The following is a 21,014-nucleotide window of genomic DNA, read 5'->3' as shown; positions in this document are numbered from 1 at the left end:
TGCCACTGTACTTCAGCCTGGGCAGTGAAGTGAGACCCTGTCTTTAAAAAAAAAAAAAAAGACGATTAATTTTTTTTTTAACTCATAGTATCCAAATTGAGGGGATGGGTCAAGGCAAACTGGGGTAGTTAGGCCAGAAAAACCCTCCAGTATCATAACAGAAGTTGATAAAAATGACTAAAATTAATAAATTGAGAAATAACAGTATATGAAAATTATTTAGAAATATAGAGGAAAATTCTAGAAGGAACAGAATGGAGTGGAAAGTTGTTGCTCCTGGGGTGGAGGATGGGGGTGAAGAAAGATGGAACAAGGATTGCTAGTACCTCAGATTCAATTATGTACATGCTTTAGTTGGATTTAATAATAATTATTTTTTAAAGCACATGGCAATTTCTCACCCCATGAGCTTCTTTGGTGACATTTCAATTCAATTCTGGTGACATTTCAATGGGGTAATGCATTTTCTGTGAGTCACTTGCTACACCCAGTCCTGCCCTCTCTGCTGAGGGGCTGATGCCAAGTACCCACCCCTTACCACGGAGCCAGCAAGCTGTGCCTTGCCCTCAGGGCCCCCATGCACGTCGCCTTGCAATCTTTCTCCTGTCATTCTACAGCTATTCAGGCCACTGTAGATTATTTTAGAGACAGTGGATAAGACGCTAATGAATACTTGGAGTAGCATTTGTTGAAAATGAAATGCTGGCATGCATATTTTAACAGTAATCAGTTTGGATCAGCAAATAAACACAGAGATGGGGAAGACATGCAAGGGGACCTCTTCTCTCCTCTAGTGTTTCATCAACTCAAGGAAACTTGTTTTTCAAGGCAGCTATTTCTCCACCTAACTGCATCATTTTTCCCCGGCTACGTTTTCAGAGAAAGAGTTCCCCATCTTGTATTTCACAACTGACAGTATTTGCCAAGAATTCACTAGGAAAAACACAAAACATGTCTTTTCTGTATGGATGTGAGCACATGTAAAAAGCTGAGTTCTGACTGTGTGGTGGATTTTTAGAACCACCATTTTTAATGGCTAGAGTTGAGGTCTCCCATTTGTACTTTCTCTCTCTCCCCCTCTTGTCCCCTCCTTCCCTCCTCCACCTTTTCCTTTTTTTTTTTTTCTCTCTCTCTCTCTGTCTCCTTCATTTGCAAGCTCACATAACCTTGTACAATTGAATCCTTACCCTGGAGATTGTCATAGCAGAACCAATTGTGCCCTAGGGAATAAAAAGATACGAGAATTGAAACACAGTGTCAACATATGGTAGAAAAATTGTCAATAATGTTTTGAAAAAGTGGGGAGATTGGAGGCTATTACCCTGGGAGGAGGAAGCAATTGTTTAATAAATGTAAAAGTCACAGAAATGCAACAACGTCTTGTCTGGCAAATATTTCATTTGTGGGAACCACTGACTGAAGTCATTTGAAAATGTAGCAGAAGCATCCCAAACAAATTAGAGGATCAGAACTGGCCATGTCATTGCATCAAGGTAGCCAACTTCTACTGCAGAAGCATCTTTCTGAAAGAGGGACTTTTTGTCATGCCCATTGTGGAATGCTTTTTTGTGTGTGCGTGTGTAAGAAATATTAGTTTTATTTAACCAGTTTTCACAGGTGAATATTTATTATATAAAAACTTTACAGATCGTACAGTTTATGTATAGTTCAAACTAATGAACGAAAAGGTAGGTCCCACAGATGCAAAAACACTGCATGAATCAAGGTAAAGGCGGCTTTACACACGATACAGCTCTCCATGGGGCCAGGGAGGTGGTCAGTTCTAAGTATATATTTCAAAAATGTACAAAAATAAGGTTTTGATTTTATTTTGCTCATCATACATTCAATATGATTGCAAGCTCAGAAGCCTAACTAGAAATAGGGATCTGGAGTCTGGAGTCAGTACCCACTCCTGGAAGGAAGGCACGTGTCTATCAACGCAGGGCACACTTGGACACCATACTGAATTCACCATATTATATAAACATAAAAGCACAGACCAAGAACATTCAATGACGAATATAAGGTAGTTCTTTTTTGTTTGGAAAGGAGATTTTGCATTTAATAGTGTACCGAAATAATTTTAATTTATTAAATAAAATGTATTCTAAGTGAACCTAAAAATTACACTATGTAAACATAAAAATACTTTATTGTGGTGTAATACATCAATCATATCTGCAAAACGAAAACCAAAACTGTATATAAAGTAGCATTTCTCACCCAGCAACAAGAAGCACTCATATAGTTATATTTCAAAAGGGTCAAAAAACTATTTAAAACCCGCCAAAGACTAACTTGTAACCTAGATATTCAAACTTAAGCTATTCAGTGCTTCACTAATACTGCAAAGAAAGCTTTCTTCTAGAGACATTGCTTTGCTTATAGTAACTGGGTAAGAACTGGATGTATTTTAAAAGGAAGGGGAAACCAACTGATATCTCAGCATGAATCTTAAACATATGTCTGGTTTAGGAGTATGCTCCTCAGTGAATGTTTCATCAGAAGTATTTGTTGTAGAAGCTAAGTCTTATTTTTGATTTGGAATTTCCCGAATCTGAGGTATCGGTACCTACTTGGAGAAAAAGCCAATGCCTCAGATGACTCTGTGTCTCTATGTAGGACAGGGGAGGTGAGGCGGGCTAATACCCCTTTAGATTCTCTGTTCTAGAAGGAAAACATGACCAAAACAAACATTATTTCAGATTTTTCTGTCACCAAAATCAATAAAACACACTTCTGGTTTTATACAGTACTAGCCAAAGACAAGAGAAATTAGAGCTTCTAAGAGCAATCCTGTGATCACCATTAAACTGTTATAGTTGTGTGTATATGACTATAAAATACTGATGCTTAGACAGAAAAGCATTGTAGTATTTCATTTTATTTTAAGTGATTTTATTTTATTTTAAAGCTACAGTACTTTCAAACTACTCGATAATACATAGCGTGGATTTTCCGAGTCCTGCTTCCACACGTGAGCTACCAGCGAGCATGACTCAGGCTGTGACAATGGATAAGGACAGCTGGAAGCAATGGTGTTCTTCTCAGCCGGAACCCGGTGCGGTCAGTGTGCAGCCTGACACTCGAAACTCATTCATCTTCCTGTGTAAGTACTTTCACATGGAGTCCAACCCTTGAGCAGAGCCCCAGATTTTCTGCAGTACTTCACATGTTCTCTCGTTGGCCTGTTCCAGATCCCTCTTCATGTTGCAGCACACCAAGGCTTTGGATTCCTTCAGCACTATTCGATTACATGAGACAAGCTTCTTGATCTGAGCCACCAATTTCCTGAGTGAAGGTCCAGGACTCAAACAGCTGGGAGAGAAGGCCGTTGCCAAATGCCTCCTGAGTGATCAGTTTCAACCCACTGAGCATCGTCTCGCTTGCAGCTGGTCGTCCCATGATTTCGGAAACGTAATGGTAGATCAGCTATCTGGGATCTGCTCAGAGGTAGAAGAGGGTGTTGGAAACCAAGTCTTTTCATTAGCCTAAACCATATCACAAAGAGGCAATACGGATGCTCCTAGTCGAATGGCTGGGCAGCTGACTGGTTTAGTAATAGACAGCTTAAGTTAAATGATAGCATTCACAAAGTTCCTTCCATTCAACTATGAAACAGGCCCCTACCTGGGCCCAATCTCCTCTACTCTGTACTTCAGAGGCCAGACGAGATTGGGAGCGTTCACGGTGGTATGGCTGTAGATTGTTCACGATGTTTCTGGTAGCTTTTGCCCTTTTAATGCTTGCTCTCTTTCTGTCCTCTGTCAAACGTTGTAAAACATAAATAAGGTCAAGTGCGCCACAGAAGACCCTACCTAAGGCCCTGAGCAGTACAAGGTTGTTGTACTTTCTGGAGTTCAATGATCGCATTCACGAAGTTCCTTCCATCCAATACCCTCTTCTACCTCCAGGAACATTCCAGATACCTGACCTAGCATTACATTTCCGAAATAATGGGACGATTTATCCAGAGTACTCCCGAATAAATAGCGTGAATGTTCTCGGTCCTGCTTGCAAGCATAAGCTACCAGTGAGCTTGTTTCAGGCTGTGAGAATGGATAAGGACAGCCGGAAGCAATGGTGTTCTTCTCAGCTGGAACCCGATGTGGTCAGTGTGCAGCCTGACACTCGAAACTCATTCATCTTCCTTTCTAAGTCCTTTCACATGGAGTCCAACCCTTGGGCAGAACCCCAGATTTTCTTCAGTACTTCACATGTTCTCTCGTTGGCCTGTTCCAGATCCCTCTTCATGTTGCAGCACACCAAGGCTTTGGATTCCTCCAGCACTATTCGATTACATGAGACAAGCTTCTTGATCTGAGCCACCAATTTCCTGATTGAAGGTCCAGGATCCAAACAGCTGGGAGAGAAGGCCGTTGCCAAATGCCTCCTGTGTGATCAGTTTCAACCCACTGAGCATCGTCTCGCTTGCAGCTGGTCGTCCCATGATTTCGGAAACGTAATGGTAGATCAGCTATCTGGAATCTGCCCAGAGGTAGAAGAGGGTGTTGGAAACCAAGTCTTTTCATTAGCCAAAACCATATCACAAAGAGGCAATATGGGTGCTCCTAGTCGAACGGCTGGGCTGTTGACTGCTTTAGTAATAGACAGCTTAAGTTAAATGATAGCATTCACAAAGTTCCTTCCATCCAACTATGAAACAGGCCCCTACCTGGGCCCAATCTCCTCTACTCTGTACATCAGAGGCCAGACGAGATTGGGAGCGTTCACAGTGGTATGGGTGTAGGTTGTTCACGATGTTTCTGGTAGCTTTTGCCCTTTTAATGCTTGTTCTCTTTCTGTCCTCTGACAAACGTTGTAAAACATAAATAAGGTCAAGTGCACCACAGAAGACCCTACCTAAGGCCCTGAGCAGTACAAGGTTGGTGTACTTTCTGGAGTTCAATGATCGCATTCATGAAGTTCCTTCCATCCAATACCCTCTTCTACCTCCAGGAAGATTCCAGATACCTGACCTAGCATTACATTTCCGAAATAATGGGACGATTTATCCAGAGTACTCCCGAATAAATAGCGTGAATGTTCCTAGTCCTGCTTGGAAGCATAAGCTACCAGTGAGCTTGTCTCAGGCTGTGAGAATGGATAAGGACAGGTGGAAGCAATGGTGTTCTTCTCAGCCGGAACCCCGTGTGGTCAGTGTGCAGCCTGACACTCGAAACTCGTTCATCTTCCTTTCTAAGTCCTTTCACATGGAGTCCAACCCTCGGGCAGAACCCCAGATTTTCTTCAGTACTTCACATGTTCTCTCGTTGGCCTGTTCCAGATCCCTCTTCATGTTGCAGCACACCAAGGCTTTGGATTCCTCCAGCAATATTCGATTACATGAGACAAGCTTCTTGATCTGAGCCACCAATTTCCTGAGTGAAGGTCCAGGATCCAAACAGCTGGGAGAGAAGGCCGTTGCCAAATGCCTCCTGAGTGATCAGTTTCAACCCACTGAGCATCGTCTCACTTGCAGCTGGTCGTCCCATGATTTCGGAAACGTAATGGTAGATCAGCTATCTGGAATCTGCCCAGAGGTAGAAGAGGGTGTTGGAAACCAAGTCTTTTCATTAGCCTAAACCATATCACAAAGAGGCAATACGGATGCTCCTAGTCGAATGGCTGGGCCATTGAGTGCTTCAACAATACGCAGCTTAAGCTGAACAATAGCATTCAGGAAGTTCCTTCTATCCAACAATGAAACAGGCCCGAACCTGGACCCAATCGCATCTACTCTGTACTTCAGAGACCAGACAAGATTGGGAGCGTTCACGGTGGTATGACTGTAGATTGTTCACGACGTTTCCAGTAGCTTCTGCCGTTTTAATGCTTGCTCTCTCTCTGTCCTCTGTCAAATGTCGTAAAAAATAAATAAGGCCAAGTGCACCACGGAAGACCGTACCAATGGCGCTGAGCAGTCCAAGGTTGCTGTACTTTCTGGAGTCAGTACTCCCGAATAAATAGCGTGAATGTTCCCAGTCCTGCTTGCAAGCATAAGCTACCAGTGAGCTTGTCTCAGGCTGTGAGAATGGATAAGGACAGATGGAAGCAATGGTGTTCTTCTCAGCCGGAACCCGATGTGGTCAGTGTGCAGCCTGACACTCGAAACTCGTTCATCTTCCTTTCTAAGTCCTTTCACATGGAGTCCAACCCTTGGGCAGAACCCCAGATTTTCTTCAGTACTTCACATGTTCTCTCGTTGGCCTGTTCCAGATCCGTCTTCATGTTGCAGCACACCAAGGCTTTGGATTCCTCCAGCACTATTCGATTACATGAGACAAGCTTCTTGATCTGAGCCACCAATTTCCTGAGTGAAGGTCCAGGATCCAAACAGCTGGGAGAGAAGGCCGTTGCCAAATGCCTCCTGAGTGATCAGTTTCAACCCACTGAGCATCGTCTCACTTGCAGCTGGTCGTCCCATGATTTCGGAAACGTAATGGTAGATCAGCTATCTGGAATCTGCCCAGAGGTAGAAGAGGGTGTTGGAAACCAAGTCTTTTCATTAGCCTAAACCATATCACAAAGAGGCAATACGGATGCTCCTAGTCGAATGGCTGGGCGGCTGACTGGTTTAGTAATAGACAGCTTAAGTTAAATGATAGCATTCACAAAGTTCCTTCCATCCAACTATGAAACAGGCCCCTACCTGGGCCCAATCTCCTCTACTCTGTACTTCAGAGGCCAGACGAGATTGGGAGCGTTCACGGTGGTATGGCTGTAGATTGTTCACGATGTTTCTGGTAGCTTTTGCCCTTTTAATGCTTGCTCTCTTTCTGTCCTCTGTCAAACGTTGTAAAACATAAATAAGGTCAAGTGCGCCACAGAAGACCCTACCTAAGGCCCCGAGCAGTACAAGCTTGGTGTACTTTCTGGAGTTCAATGATCGCATTCACGAAGTTCCTTCCATCCAATACGCTCTTCTACCTCCAGGAAGATTCCAGATACCTGACCTAGCATTACATTTCCGAAATAATGGAACGATTTATCCAGAGTACTCCCGAATAAATAGCGTGAATGTTCCCGGTCCTGCTTACAAGCATAAGCTACCAGTGAGCTTGTTTCAGGCTGTGAGAATGGATAAGGACACCCGGAAGGAATGGTGTTCTTCTCAGCTGGAACCCGATGTGGTCACTGTGCAGCCTGACACTCGAAACTCGTTCATCTTCCTTTCTAAATCCTTTCACATGGAGTCCAACCCTTGGGCAGAACCCCAGATTTTCTTCAGTACTTCACATGTTCTCTCGTTGGCCTGTTCCAGATCCCTCTTCATGTTGCAGCACACCAAGGCTTTGGATTCCTCCAGCACTATTCGATTACATGAGACAAGCTTCTTGATCTGAGCCACCAATTTCCTGAGTGAAGGTCCAGGATCCAAACAGCTGGGAGAGAAAGCCGTTGCCAAATGCCTCCTGTGTGATCAGTTTCAACCCACTGAGCATCGTCTCGCTTGCAGCTGGTCGTCCCATGATTTCGGAAACGTAATGGTAGATCAGCTATCTGGAATCTGCCCAGAGGTAGAAGAGGGTGTTGGAAACCAAGTCTTTTCATTAGCCTAAACCATATCACAAAGAGGCAATACGGATGCTCCTAGTCGAATGGCTGGGCCATTGAGTGCTTCAACAATACACAGCTTAAGCGGAACAAAGCATTCAGAAAGTTCCTTCTATCCAACAATGAAACAGGCCCGAACCTGGGCCCAATCGCATCTACTCTGTACTTCAGAGACCAGACAAGATTGGGAGCGTTCACGGTGGTATGACTGTAGATTGCTCACGACGTTTCCAGTAGCTTCTGCCGTTTTAATGCTTGCTCTCTCTCTGCCCTCTGTCAAATGTCGTAAAAAATAAATAAGGCCAAGTACACCACGGAAGACCCTACCAATGGCGCCGAGCAGTCCAAGCTTCCTGTACTTTCTGGAGTCAGTACTCCCGAATAAATAGCGTGAATGTTCCTAGTCCTGCTTGGAAGCATAAGCTACCAGTGAGCTTGTCTCAGGCTGTGAGAATGGATAAGGACAGGTGGAAGCAATGGTGTTCTTCTCAGCCGGAACCCCATGTGGTCAGTGTGCAGCCTGACACTCGAAACTCGTTCATCTTCCTTTCTAAGTCCTTTCACATGGAGTCCAACCCTTGGGCAGAACCCCAGATTTTCTTCAGTACTTCACATGTTCTCTCGTTGGCCTGTTCCAGATCCCTCTTCATGTTGCAGCACACGAAGGCTTTGGATTCCTCCAGCACTATTCGATTACATGAGACAAGCTTCTTGATCTGAGCCACCAATTTCCTGAGTGAAGGTCCAGGATCCAAACAGCTGGGAGAGAAGGCCGTTGCCAAATGCCTCCTGTGTGATCAGTTTCAACCCACTGAGCATCATCTCGCTTGCAGCTGGTCGTCCCATGATTTCGGAAACGTAATGGTAGATCAGCTATGTGGGATCTGCTCAGAGGTAGAAGAGGGTGTTGGAAACCAAGTCTTTTCATTAGCCTAAACCATATCACAAAGAGGCAATACGGATGCTCCTAGTCGAATGGCTGGGCCATTGAGTGCTTCAACAATACGCAGCTTAAGCTGAACAAAGCATTCAGGAAGTTCCTTCTATCCAACAATGAAACAGGCCCGAACCTGGGCCCAATCGCATCTACTCTGTACTTCAGAGACCAGACAAGATTGGGAGCGTTCACGGTGGTATGACTGTTGATTGCTCACGACGTTTCCAGTAGCTTCTGCCGTTTTAATGCTTGCTCTCTCTCTGCCCTCTGTCAAATGTCGTAAAAAATAAATAAGGCCAAGTGCACCACGGAAGACCCTACCAATGGCGCCGAGTAGTCCAACCTTCCTGTACTTTCTGGAGTCAGTACTCCCGAATAAATAGCGTGAATGTTCCTAGTCCTGCTTGGAAGCATAAGCTACCAGTGAGCTTGTCTCAGGCTGTGAGAATGGATAAGGACAGTTGGAAGCAATGGTGTTCTTCTCAGCCGGAACCCCATGTGGTCAGTGTGCAGCCTGACACTCGAAACTCGTTCATCTTCCTTTCTAAGTCCTTTCACATGGAGTCCAACCCTCGGGCAGAACCCCAGATTTTCTTCAGTACTTCACATGTTCTCTCGTTGGCCTGTTCCAGATCCCTCTTCATGTTGCAGCACACCAAGGCTTTGGATTCCTCCAGCAATATTCGATTACATGAGACAAGCTTCTTGATCTGAGCCACCAATTTCCTGAGTGAAGGTCCAGGTTCCAAACAGCTGGGAGAGAAGGCCGTTGCCAAATGCCCCCTGTGTGATCAGTTTCAACCCACTGAGCATCGTCTCACTTGCAGCTGGTCGTCCCATGATTTCGGAAACGTAATGGTAGATCAGCTATCTGGAATCTGCCCAGAGGTAGAAGAGGGTGTTGGAAACCAAGTATTTTCATTAGCCTAAACCATATCACAAAGAGGCAATACGGATGCTCCTATTCGAATGGCTGGGCCATTGAGTGCTTCAACAATACGCAGCTTAAGCTGAACAATAGCATTCAGGAAGTTCCTTCTATCCAACAATGAAACAGGCCCGAACCTGGGCCCAATCGCATCTACTCTGTACTTCAGAGACCAGACAAGATTGGGAGCGTTCACGGTGGTATGACTATAGATTGTTCACGACGTTTCCAGTAGCTTCTGCCGTTTGAATGCTTGCTCTCTCTCTGTCCTCTGTCAAATGTCGTAAAAAATAAATAACCCAAGTGCACCACGGAAGACCCTACCAATGGCGCCGAGCAGTCCAAGCTTCCTGTATTTTCTGGAGTCAGTACTCCCGAATAAATAGCGTGAATGTTCCTAGTCCTGCTTGCAAGCATAAGCTACCAGTGAGCTTGTCTCAGGCTGTGAGAATGGATAAGGACAGGTGGAAGCAATGGTGTTCTTCTCAGCCGGAACCCCATGTGGTCATTGTGCAGCCTGACACTCGAAACTCGTTCATCTTCCTTTCTAAGTCCTTTCACATGGAGTCCAACCCTCGGGCAGAACCCCAGATTTTCTTCAGTACTTCACATGTTCTCTCGTTGGCCTGTTCCAGATCCCTCTTCATGTTGCAGCACACCAAGGCTTTGGATTCCTCCAGCACTATTCGATTACATGAGACAAGCTTCTTGATCTGAGCCACCAATTTCCTGAGTGAAGGTCCAGGATCCAAACAGCTGGGAGAGAAGGCCGTTGCCAAATGCCTCCTGTGTGATCAGTTTCAACCCACTGAGCATCGTCTCACTTGCAGCTGGTCGTCCCATGATTTCGGAAACGTAATGGTAGATCAGCTATCTGGAATCTGCCCAGAGGTAGAAGAGGGTGTTGGAAACCAAGTCTTTTCATTAGCCTAAACCATAACACAAAGAGGCAATACGGATGCTCCTGGTCGAATGGCTGGGCCATTGAGTGCTTCAACAATACGCAGCTTAAGCGGAACAAAGCATTCAGGAAGTTCCTTCTATCCAACAATGAAACAGGCCCCAACCTGGGCCCAATCGCATCTACTCTGTACTTCAGAGACCAAACAATATTGGGAGCGTTCACGGTGGTATGACTGTAGATTGTTCAGGACGTTTCCAGTAGCTTCTGCCGTTTTTATGCTTGCTCTCTCTCTGCACTCTGTCAAATGTCGTAAAAAATAAATAAGGCCAAGTGCACCACGGAAGACCGTACCAATGGCGCTGAGCAGTCCAAGGTTGCTGTACTTTCTGGAGTCAGTACTCCCGAATAAATAGCGTGAATGTTCCCAGTCCTGCTGGCAAGCATAAGCTACCAGTGAGCTTGTTTCAGGCTGTGAGAATGGATAAGGACAGATGGAAGCAATGGTGTTCTTCTCAGCCGGAACCCGATGTGGTCAGTGTGCAGCCTGACAATGGAAACTCATTCATCTTCCTTTCTAAGTCCTTTCACATGGAGTCCAACCCTTGGGCACAACCCCAGATTTTCTTCAGTACTTCACATGTTCTCTCGTTGGCCTGTTCCAGATGCCTCTTCATGTTGCAGCACACCAAGGCTTTGGATTCCTCCAGCACTATTCGATTACATGAGACAAGCTTCTTGATCTGAGCCACCAATTTCCTAAGTGAAGGTCCAGGACTCAAACAGCTGGGAGAGAAGGCCGTTGCCAACTGCCTCCTGAGTGATCAGTTTCAACCCAGTGAGCATCGTCTCGCTTGCAGCTGGTCGTCCCATGATTTCGGAAACGTAATGGTAGATCAGCTATGTGGGATCTGCTCAGAGGTAGAAGAGGGTGTTGGAAACCAAGTCTTTTCATTAGCCTAAACCATATCACAAAGAGGCAATACGGATGCTCCTAGTCGAATGGCTGGGCGGCTGACTTGTTTAGTAATAGACAGCTTAAGTTAAATGATAGCATTCACAAAGTTCCTTCCATCCAACTATGAAACAGGCCCCTACCTGGGCCCAATCTCCTCTACTCTGTACTTCAGAGGCCAGACGAGATTGGGAGCGTTCACGGTGGTATGGCTGTAGATTGTTCACGATGTTTCTGGTAGCTTTTGCCCTTTTAATGCTTGCTCTCTTTCTGTCCTCTGTCAAACGTTGTAAAACATAAATAAGGTCAAGTGCGCCACAGAAGACCCTACCTAAGGCCCTGAGCAGTACAAGGTTGGTGTACTTTCTGGAGTTCAATGATCGCATTCACGAAGTTCCTTCCATCCAATACCCTCTTCTACCTCCAGGAAGATTCCAGATACCTGACCTAGCATTACATTTCCAAAATAATGGGATGATTTATCCAGAGTACTCCCGAATAAATAGCGTGAATGTTCCCGGTCCTGCTTGCAAGCATAAGCTACCAGTGAGCTTGTTTCAGGCTGTGAGAATGAAGAAGGACAGCCGGAAGCAATGGTGTTCTTCTCAGCTGGATCCCGATGTGGTCAGTGTGCAGCCTGACACTCGAAACTCATTCATCTTCCTTTCTAAGTCCTTTCACATGGAGTCCAACCCTTGGGCAGAACCCCAGATTTTCTTCAGTACTTCACATGTTCTCTCGTTGGCCTGTTCCAGATCCCTCTTCATGTTGCAGCACACCAAGGCTTTGGATTCCTCCAGCACTATTCGATTACATGAGACAAGCTTCTTGATCTGAGCCACCAATTTCCTGATTGAAGGTCCAGGATCCAAACAGCTGGGAGAGAAGGCTGTTGCCAAATGCCTCCTGTGTGATCAGTTTCAACCCAGTGAGCATCGTCTCGCTTGCAGCTGGTCGTCCCATGATTTCGGAAACGTAATGGTAGATCAGCTATCTGGAATCTGCCCAGAGGTAGAAGAGGGTGTTGGAAACCAAGTCTTTTCATTAGCCTAAACCATATCACAAAGAGGCAATACGGATGCTCCTAGTCGAATGGCTGGGCCATTGAGTGCTTCAACAATACGCAGCTTAAGCGGAACAAAGCATTCAGGAAGTTCCTTCTATCCAACAATGAAACAGGCCCCAACCTGGGCCCAATCGCATCTACTCTGTACTTCAGAGACCAGACAAGATTGGGAGCGTTCACGGTGGTATGACTGTAGATTGCTCACGACGTTTCCAGTAGCTTCTGCCGTTTTAATGCTTGCTCTCTCTCTGTCCTCTGTCAAATGTCGTAAAAAATAAATAAGGCCAAGTGCACCACGGAAGACCCTACCAATGGCGCTGAGCAGTCCAAGGTTGCTGTACTTTCTGGAGTCAGTACTCCCGAATAAATAGCGTGAATGTTCCCAGTCCTGCTTGCAAGCATAAGCTACCAGTGAGCTTGTTTCAGGCTGTGAGAATGGATAAGGACAGATGGAAGCAATGGTGTTCTTCTCAGCTGGAACCCGATGTGGTCCGTGTGCAGCCTGACACTCGAAACTCATTCATCTTCCTTTCTAAGTCCTTTCACATGGAGTCCAACCCTTGGGCAGAACCCCAGATTTTCTTCAGTACTTCACATGTTCTCTCGTTGGCCTGTTCCAGATCCCTCTTCATGTTGCAGCACACCAAGGCTTTGGATTCCTCCAGCACTATTCGATTACATGAGACAAGCTTCTTGATCTGAGCCACCAATTTCCTGAGTGAAGGTCCAGGACCCAAACAGCTGGGAGAGAAGGCCGTTGCCAAATGCCTTCTGTGTGATCAGTTTCAACCCACTGAGCATCGTCTCGCTTGCAGCTGGTCGTCCCATGATTTCGGAAACGTAATGGTAAATCAGCTGTCTGGAATCTGCTCAGAGGTAGAAGAGGTTGTTGGAAACCAAGTCTTTTGATTAGCCTAAACCATATCATAAAGGGGCAATACGGATGCTTCTAGTCGAATGGCTGGGATAGTGACTGCTTCAATAATATTCAGTTTGAGTGAAATGATAGCCTTCACGAAGTTCCTCCCATCCAAGTACTGAAGAGGCCGTACCCTGGGCGCAATCTCGTGTACTCTGTACTTCAGTGACCAGATGAGATTGGAGCGTTCACTGTGCTATGGCCGTAGATTATGTACGACGTTTCTGGTAGCTTCTCTTCTGCCATTTTAATGCTTTCTCTTTTTGTATCATATTCAGGGTCGTATGGTCATAGATTATTCATGATGTTTCAGATAACTTCTTTTACTTCAGTAACAGGTTTTTTGAACGGAGTAATAGTATTCACAAAGTTCCTTGTGTCCATGCACTATACAGGGCAGATACTGCTTAGCTTCTGATATCCGAAGAAATCGTGCCTATTTCGGGTGGTATGGCCAGGGATTATTCACGAAGTTTCTGTTAGCTTCTGCCTATTTAACACTTTCTTTTTTTCTGTCACTTTCAGAGTGATATGGCCATAGATTATTCACGACGTTTCTGATAGGTTCTCCCATTTTAATGCTTTCTCTTTTTCTGTCATCTGTCAAACACTGCATAAAATAAATAAAGTCAAGTCCACAACAGAAGACACTGTTAAAGGCGCTGAGCAGTACAAGCTTGCTGTAATCAGCAGTGGTTGTCAGAGCTGGTAGACTTTTTTCATTACAGCTGTATTTACTGAGTTATTCCCTGTTGATCTAGTGAATAAGATGTGGGTGAAGCCATCTTTTGTCCCGGCCACAATAACTCTGTATCCTTAGGCACTTTCTGTTTGCCTCACACTGAAATGCAATCGTTTGTTAAAAGGCTGTTCTCTTCTGTTGTCAATAAATTTCCTTTTGCTGACAGTTACTGCTGTAACAGATGTCTGTATGTTGGTTGTCCCACTGGCTGTTAATGCATCCATGAATGTAGATGTAGCTTTCCTGTTAACGAGTAGGCCTGTGGCCATGGCTGCACTTACGGGGCCATGCACCTGAGGCACTAGCAGGTGTATCCAGGCTTGCTCCCCATCCTGGCCTGCTCAGTACCAGGGCCCAATAAAGCTTTGTCTGGCTTTTCCGCTGCCACTTTGGGTACTACCATTCCTCCTGACCCTGCTCTGTGGGGTCCAGTTTTTTGGAGCTCTCACTCTGAAAGCCATTCACTGCGTCCTGCTTAATGGGGCTCTTAGGCATGAGGATCTTGATACCTGACTTCACTAGGTCCATTTTCATCTGGCTGCAGAGAGACGGAGCTGTGTTCTTCCTGAACTGCTGGCTGGCAGCAAACAGCTGGCTGTTTTTGGATTCGTGATCTCTCCCAATCACTGGTGCCTTAGGAGAGGACTTAGAAAAGCTGCTGTTTGTGGATCTGGAGATTTGTTTCCTAGCATTGTTGGGAGAGGACCTGTTTGTTCTGGTCAATGTGCTCTCTTTCTGCCTTTCCGTGTGGTGTCTGTTGAAGTCGTGGATGTATTCCTGACAGTTCACGAGGTGCTGCTCTGGTTCCCAAGTGTCGTCCTCGCTGTTGTAGCCTTTTCACTGAACCAAATACTCTGTCTTCCCTTTTTAATTTTTCCTTTTGTCAACAATCTTTTCAATCTAACCTGCCTTAGTTGGCATAGACCAATGTAATTCAGTTCGCTCCTCCTCAAATTTAAACAATTCGTCATTGATGGCAAGTAGTACCCAAGATAAGACTCTTCAGATGAAGAATCACAGCCTTTTCCCATCTCAGGAGAACAATGACTAAAATTTTAAGTTTGCAGTCCTACGCTTTTCCGAATTTAAATGATTTTGCTAATAATCATATCACCTCTATCAAAAATCTTTCTGAATTTTATTGTTATGCATAATCCTTTAATTATTATTATTAATTAATATTTTTAGAGATCGGGTCTCACTATGTTGCCCAGGCTGGAGTGCAGTGGTTATTCACAGGTGCTCTCCCACTATTGATCAACACAGGAGGTTTGACCTGTTTCATTTCCATCCTGGGACAGTTCACCCCTCCTTAGGCAACCCGGTGGTCCCCTGCTCCTGGCAGGTCACTATCTATCTATCTATCTATCTATCTATCTATCTATCTATATTTTATTTATTTATTTTTTGAGTTGGAGTTTCGCTCTTGTCGCCCAGGCTGGAGTTCAGTGGCACCATCTCAGCTCACTGCAACCTCCACCTCCTGAGTTCAAGCGATTCTCCTGCCTCAGCCTCCCAAGTAGCTGCGATTACAGGCACCCGCCACCACGTCAGGCTAATTTTTCTATTTTTTGTAGAGATGGGGTTTTGCCATGTTGACCTGGCTGGTCACGAACTCCTGACCTCAGGTGATCTACATGCCTTTGCCTCCCAAAGTGCTGGGATTACAAGCATGAGCCACTGTGTCAGCCCAAAACCACCATGTTGATACCAAACTTAGTGCAGACACTTGATCGGCATAATATGCTACAGCCCAGAACCCCTGGGCTCAAGTGATTCTCCCACCTCAGCTTCCTGATAGCTGGGACTACACGCGTGGCCCACGCTGCCCTGCAGCACTCTTTCATTTTTATTACATAACTGTTTTCTGTCTATTAGAATAAGTTTGGCGAGGGTTTGGTATCAGTGTTTATAAGGCAGTTTCACTCTGTAGCTGCTGCATTGCCCTGCTCAGCTCACCCAGTCCCTTATTGGTGGACATTTCCTTTATTTCTTGACTTTTGTTACTCAAACAATGGCATAATGAATGTCTCTACATATGTGTTATTTTGCACATAGGTATTACTGTAGGAGGATTCTCAAAGAAGGATAGTTGGATCAGAGGAGTATAAGCTTTAAACTGTTGTCAGATATTGCCAAATACCTTCCCGGGTTTGTGTCATTGGCATTTACCTTCCCCTTGGGGATTTTTCACTGGATACTGGATACTGTTGCCCCATCCACATCGCCTAAGAGACACTCTGGCCAACAATGGAAGCGTGGACCTTTCGCTAATATCCCACAGCACACATAACATGGCTGAGACGGAGTGGCATTTGAAACCACATTTCATTAAAGGGAAACAGAGAAACTGTGTGCAACAAGAACATCTTGATTCTACTCCACGGCTCTCTCCCCATCTGCCCAGTCTTTGGCTTGCCTCCATGTGGTGGGCACTATCTTAATGTCTACCATCTGGGATCTATGCCTGTTATTGTTTTTATTTTATTTTACTTTTTTTAGAGACAGGGTCTCACTCTGTTGCCCAGGCTAGAGTGCAATGGGGTGAACATAGCTCACTGCAGCCTTTACCTGCGAGGCTCAAGCAATCCTCCTGCCTCAGCCTTCCCTGCAGCTGGGACTACAGGTGCACACCACCACACCTGGCTCTTTTTAAATTTTTTATAGAGACAGGGTCTCACTAGGTTGCCCAGGCTGGTCTGGAACTCTTGGACTCAAGTGATCCTCCCACCTTGGCCTCCCAAAGCTCTGGGATTACAGGTGTGAACCATCATGACTGGCTTGTTATTATTATTATTATTGAGATAGAGTTTTGCTCTTGTCGTCCAGGCTGGAGTGCAATGGCTCGATCTCTGCTCACTGCAACCTCTGCCTCCTGGGTTCAAGTGATTCTCCTGCCTCAGCTTCCCGAGTAGCTGGGATTACAGGTGTGCACCCCCATGCCCAGCTAATTTTTGTATTCTTAGTAGAGACAGGGTTTCACCATGTTGGCCAGGCTGGTCTTGAACTCCTGAACTCCGGTGGTCCTCCCACCTCGGCCCCCCAAAGTGCTGGGATTACAGGCATGAGCCATTGTGCACTGCTTGGCTTGTTATTTTTTTTAAAGCACTGACTGACATTTACTCTGGGCCACGTACTGTGTCATTTTGTATCATTGCTCCGTTTTTGTGAATGATTTTTGTATCACTTAGAATGCTTTTGAGTGTTAGTGACAGGACCTCAATCCATACTGGCTTAAACAATGACACTTTTCTATAACTAGAGCACTGTGCTGTGGTTTAGATACATATGGCAGCTCTACTCTTGGAAGCCTAGAGGAAGGTGGGTGTAGGCACCACCAATGGTGCCAATCAAGGGTCCAGACCCTTTCCATCTCTCCTATCTGCCCTTCTCTGTGGCTTGGCTCTGCTTTCTGGGCGGGCTCCCCGCATGGTGCCAGATTCCCAAAGCTGTTCTGGGTATTGCATCCAGACATTGTTAAATCCTGAGACAGAAGAGGGACTATTTTTTTTTTTCCTGTTTTCTTCTTAATAGACAGGAGGCTTTTTTCAGAAGCCCCCCGCCCAGCGAACATCCCTTCCCAGCTTCAAGGTCAGAACTGAGTCATGGGCTCACGTTTAAGTCAATCATAGGCAAAGGAAATGGGACTGTTATGAGTGACTGGGACCACTCAAGGTTCACCTTTGAACTGGGGGTTGGCTTGGCATCCTTTGACCCATGATGAGACGGAATGGGCCCCTGAGTACAGTCAGGGTCCTGCTGGCCTGGGGGGCAGTGTTGAGGGGGGAGATGGGAGTTGGGGGCAGCAACAGGGTGTGCTTAGCTAGACATAATAGCAGCGAATTCCATCCTTGCAATAATCCCACAAGGACGGCGTGTTCATTTCCTGTGACTGCTGTAACAGCCACAAACCAAAAACGTATTTTCTCACAATTCTGGAGGATAGAAGTCCAAAATCAAGGGCCACGCTCTGTGCGGAACGCTTCCTTGCCTCTTCCTATCTTCTGACGCTTCTGGGCATTCCTCGGCCTGTGACAGCATAGCTCAAATCTCTGTCTCCGTCTTCACTCCCTGTGTGTATGTCTGGCTCCTCTGTTTCTGTGTCCACATTTCCTTCTTATAAGGATACCAGCCATAGGATGAGGGCCCACTCTAATCCAGTACATCACCTGCATTTCATTCCATTGGCAAAGACCTTTGTTGGCAAATAAAGGTACATTCACAGGTACTGGGGGTTGGGACTTGGACATAACATATTTTTGGAAGGGATCCAATTTAACCCAGTACAGAAGGTCCTATTTATATCCCTGATTTGCTGTTAGGAAGTTATAGTGCAAGAGCCTAAGTAGCTAGTATGTGGTAGAGATGTCTTTGGACCCAGCTAGTTTTATCCCTCCGTTCTGTGCTCATAGCCATTTCACCACACTTATAAGGCGAATGGCAGAGTAACAAAGATCTGTGAGATCATTATATTTTTTGTTGTTGTCAAATGACTGCAGAATGCATGTCACAAATATTTATTGAACACCTACTATGTAACAGTGACTTTCTTTTTTTTTTTTTTTTTTTTTTTGAGGCAGAGTCTTACTCTGTCGCCCAGGCTGGAGTGCAGTGGTGTGATCTCGGCTCACTGGAAGCTTCATCTCCTGGGTTCACGCCATTCTCCTGCCTCAGCCTCCCGAGTAGCTGGGACTACAGGCACCCGCCACCACACCCAGCTAATTTTTTTGTATTTTTAGTGGAGACAGGGTTTTACCATGTTAACCAGGATGGTCTCGATCTCCTGACCTCGTGATCCGCCCGCCTCGGCCTCCCGAAGGCTAGGATTACAGGCGTGAACCACTGCACCCGGACCTACCTACCTACCTTCCTTCTTTCCATCCTTCCTTCCTTCCTTCCTTTATTTTTTAGACAGAGTCTCGCTCTGTCACCCAGGCTGGAATGCAGTGGCGTGATCTCGGCTCACTGCAACCTTTGCCACCTGGGTTCAAGCAATTCTCTGCCTCAGCCTCCCGAGTAGCTGGGATTACAGGCGCCCGCCACCATGCCCAGCTAACTTTTGTATTTTCAGTAGAGACGGGGTTTCACCATCTTGGCCAGGCCGGTCTTGAACTCCTGACCTCGTGATCCACCTGCCTCGGCCTCCCAAAGTGCTGGGATTGCAGGTGTGAACCACCGTGCCCGGCCTTAACAGTGACTTTCTTGTACATGGGGCTACAGCATAATCAAAACAGAGTTCTTGTTTTCTGCATTTGAGAGAAAAAATGAAATTGTGCCTGTTGAGCACTGAAAACAGGGCCCTCGATATGTTTCTGCCCATTCGGGTGGGGAAATGGAGAATGTGGTGAGTGTTGTTTCTGCCGTGCCCTGTCCTGCTCCTCGCCAGACTTCTTGCTGGGGAGATGCACACAGCAATTACATAGACCAGGTTAATCTCCCTCCTGCCTCCAGGAGCATGGGACACAATATTTCTTGCTAGCAAGAAGCAAGTCATTAAAAGCACACTTTCGGCCGGGCGCAGTGGCTCACGCCTGTAATCCCAGCACTTTGGGGGGCCGAGGAGGGCGGATCATGAGGTCAGGATATCGAGAGCATCCCGGCTAACACGGTGAAACCCCATCTCTACTAAAAATACAAAAATTAGCCGGGCGTGGTGGCAGGCGCCTGTAGTCCCAGCTACTCGGGAGGCTGAGGCAGGAGAATGGCGTGAACCCGGGAGGCGGAGCTTGCAGTGAGCCGAGATTGCGCCACTGCACTCCAGCCTGGGCGACAGAGCGAGACTCCGTCTCAAAAAAAAAAAATAAAATAAAATAAAAGCACACTTTCTTACTCAGCATTGTTTTCCCCCTGGAGTGTAAAAATCGTTGCTAAATTTCTACTGCAGGCAATGAAAACCAGCAATGAATGAAAACGTAGTGCAAAATTAACCTTGAGGGCATACCTGCGTTTTTTTCCCCTACTCATCATGAAGGAAGAGTTGATGTCAAAAGAACCCAAGCAAGGCTGGGTGCAGTGGCTCGCCTGTAATCCCAGCACTTTGGGAGGCCAAGGTGGGAGGATCACTTGAGCCCAGGAGTTTGAGACCAGCCTGGGCAACATAGTGAGATCCTGTCTCTGCAAAAAATACATATAAAAATTATGTGTGTGGCGTGCATTATCGGTGTGATGGTGCATACCTGTAGTCCCAGCTACTCAGAAGTCTGAGGCAGGGAGGATCCCTTGAGCCCAGGAGTTTGGAGGCTACAGCGAGCTATGATCACACCACTGCACTCCAGCCTGGGCAGCAGAAGGAGGGACCCTGTCTCTAAGAAAAACAGAAAGAAAAACAACCCAAACAAATGTGACTAAGGGTCATGAGAGAGAGGAGCTGGGAGGGAGGGAGCCACGCTCTTTGGCCAGTCTTAACAGATGCCGCAGCCCAAGCCACAAGTCTCAGATCTGAGGCCAACATAAAGAGATTGGACAGGAAACACTGCTGTCTATACAAATGTTGATTCTCATTAGTGATTCTGAGTTCCAGCAGGCTCTGCAAAGAAATCCCATAAATAAAGGCATCCAGTCCCACCTTATCCACGCCTGCTTGGGAAATTCTTGCTCACCAGAGCTCTGCCAAATGAAAGCTCACATTGTTTTCTGGACTTTGACTCTTGACAAATACCTCTTAGAAGTTCTCTCTCTCTCTCGCTCTTTCTCTCTCATTTTCTTCCACCAGTCACCTATTATTTCTAATTCAGGATTTCTGTGTAGAATAAGTGAATTGTTTAATGTTCAATCACTTAAGCCAAGGTGTTCCAAGATTTTTGAGGCTACTGATAGATCTCATCAGAATCCCAAATAGTAGATATGCAAATATAGTTTTCTTTGGAACTCAAATAGGGGGATAAAAATAAAACTGTTAAAAGTTAGTTGCATCTTCTCTGGAAACCTGGAAAACAGCACTGTGACCCAGAAGTCACACTTGGGCATTTATAGTAGAGAAATGAACACTTAGGTTAACATGAACTCC

General features: G+C 45.8%; 1 long non-coding RNA gene and 1 pseudogene across 2 annotated transcripts in view, besides 2 other annotated features; one reads left to right on the top strand and one right to left on the bottom strand.

Annotated features, from left to right (window-relative positions):
- Positions 1-9,703, top strand: part of LOC107985634 (uncharacterized) — a 35,569-nt gene extending 25,866 nt beyond the window's left edge. For both annotated transcript variants that reach the window (XR_001755795.1, XR_001755796.1), the window contains exons 3-4: positions 2,918-3,112; positions 3,201-9,703. This is a non-coding gene — a long non-coding RNA (uncharacterized LOC107985634). The remainder of the gene's footprint in view (positions 1-2,917; positions 3,113-3,200) is intronic.
- Positions 1,577-14,912, bottom strand: LOC442443 (chromodomain Y like protein pseudogene; annotated as a pseudogene).
- Positions 2,999-3,204: a silencer, noted in NCBI's record as "fragment chrX:9382495-9382700 (GRCh37/hg19 assembly coordinates)". NCBI's record gives its function as "represses an EF-1alpha promoter that drives an FKBP-Casp9 reporter gene in an ReSE screen in K562 erythroleukemia cells {active_cell/tissue: K562}" and the evidence as "EXISTENCE:reporter gene assay evidence [ECO:0000049][PMID:32094911]".
- Positions 10,389-11,588: an enhancer, noted in NCBI's record as "BRD4-independent group 4 enhancer chrX:9374111-9375310 (GRCh37/hg19 assembly coordinates)". NCBI's record gives its function as "activates an origin of replication core promoter dependent on BRD2, P300/CBP, MED14 and CDK7 cofactors, and independent of BRD4, by STARR-seq in HCT116 cells {active_cell/tissue: HCT116}" and the evidence as "EXISTENCE:reporter gene assay evidence [ECO:0000049][PMID:35650434]".

The sequence above is a fragment of the Homo sapiens genome, chromosome X (genome assembly GCF_000001405.40).
Source record: "Homo sapiens chromosome X, GRCh38.p14 Primary Assembly".
In the NCBI taxonomy this organism is placed as follows: Eukaryota; Metazoa; Chordata; class Mammalia; order Primates; family Hominidae; genus Homo; species Homo sapiens.
Note: the sequence above shows the minus strand (reverse complement) of the source record. Positions and strands in the feature narration are given on the sequence as shown.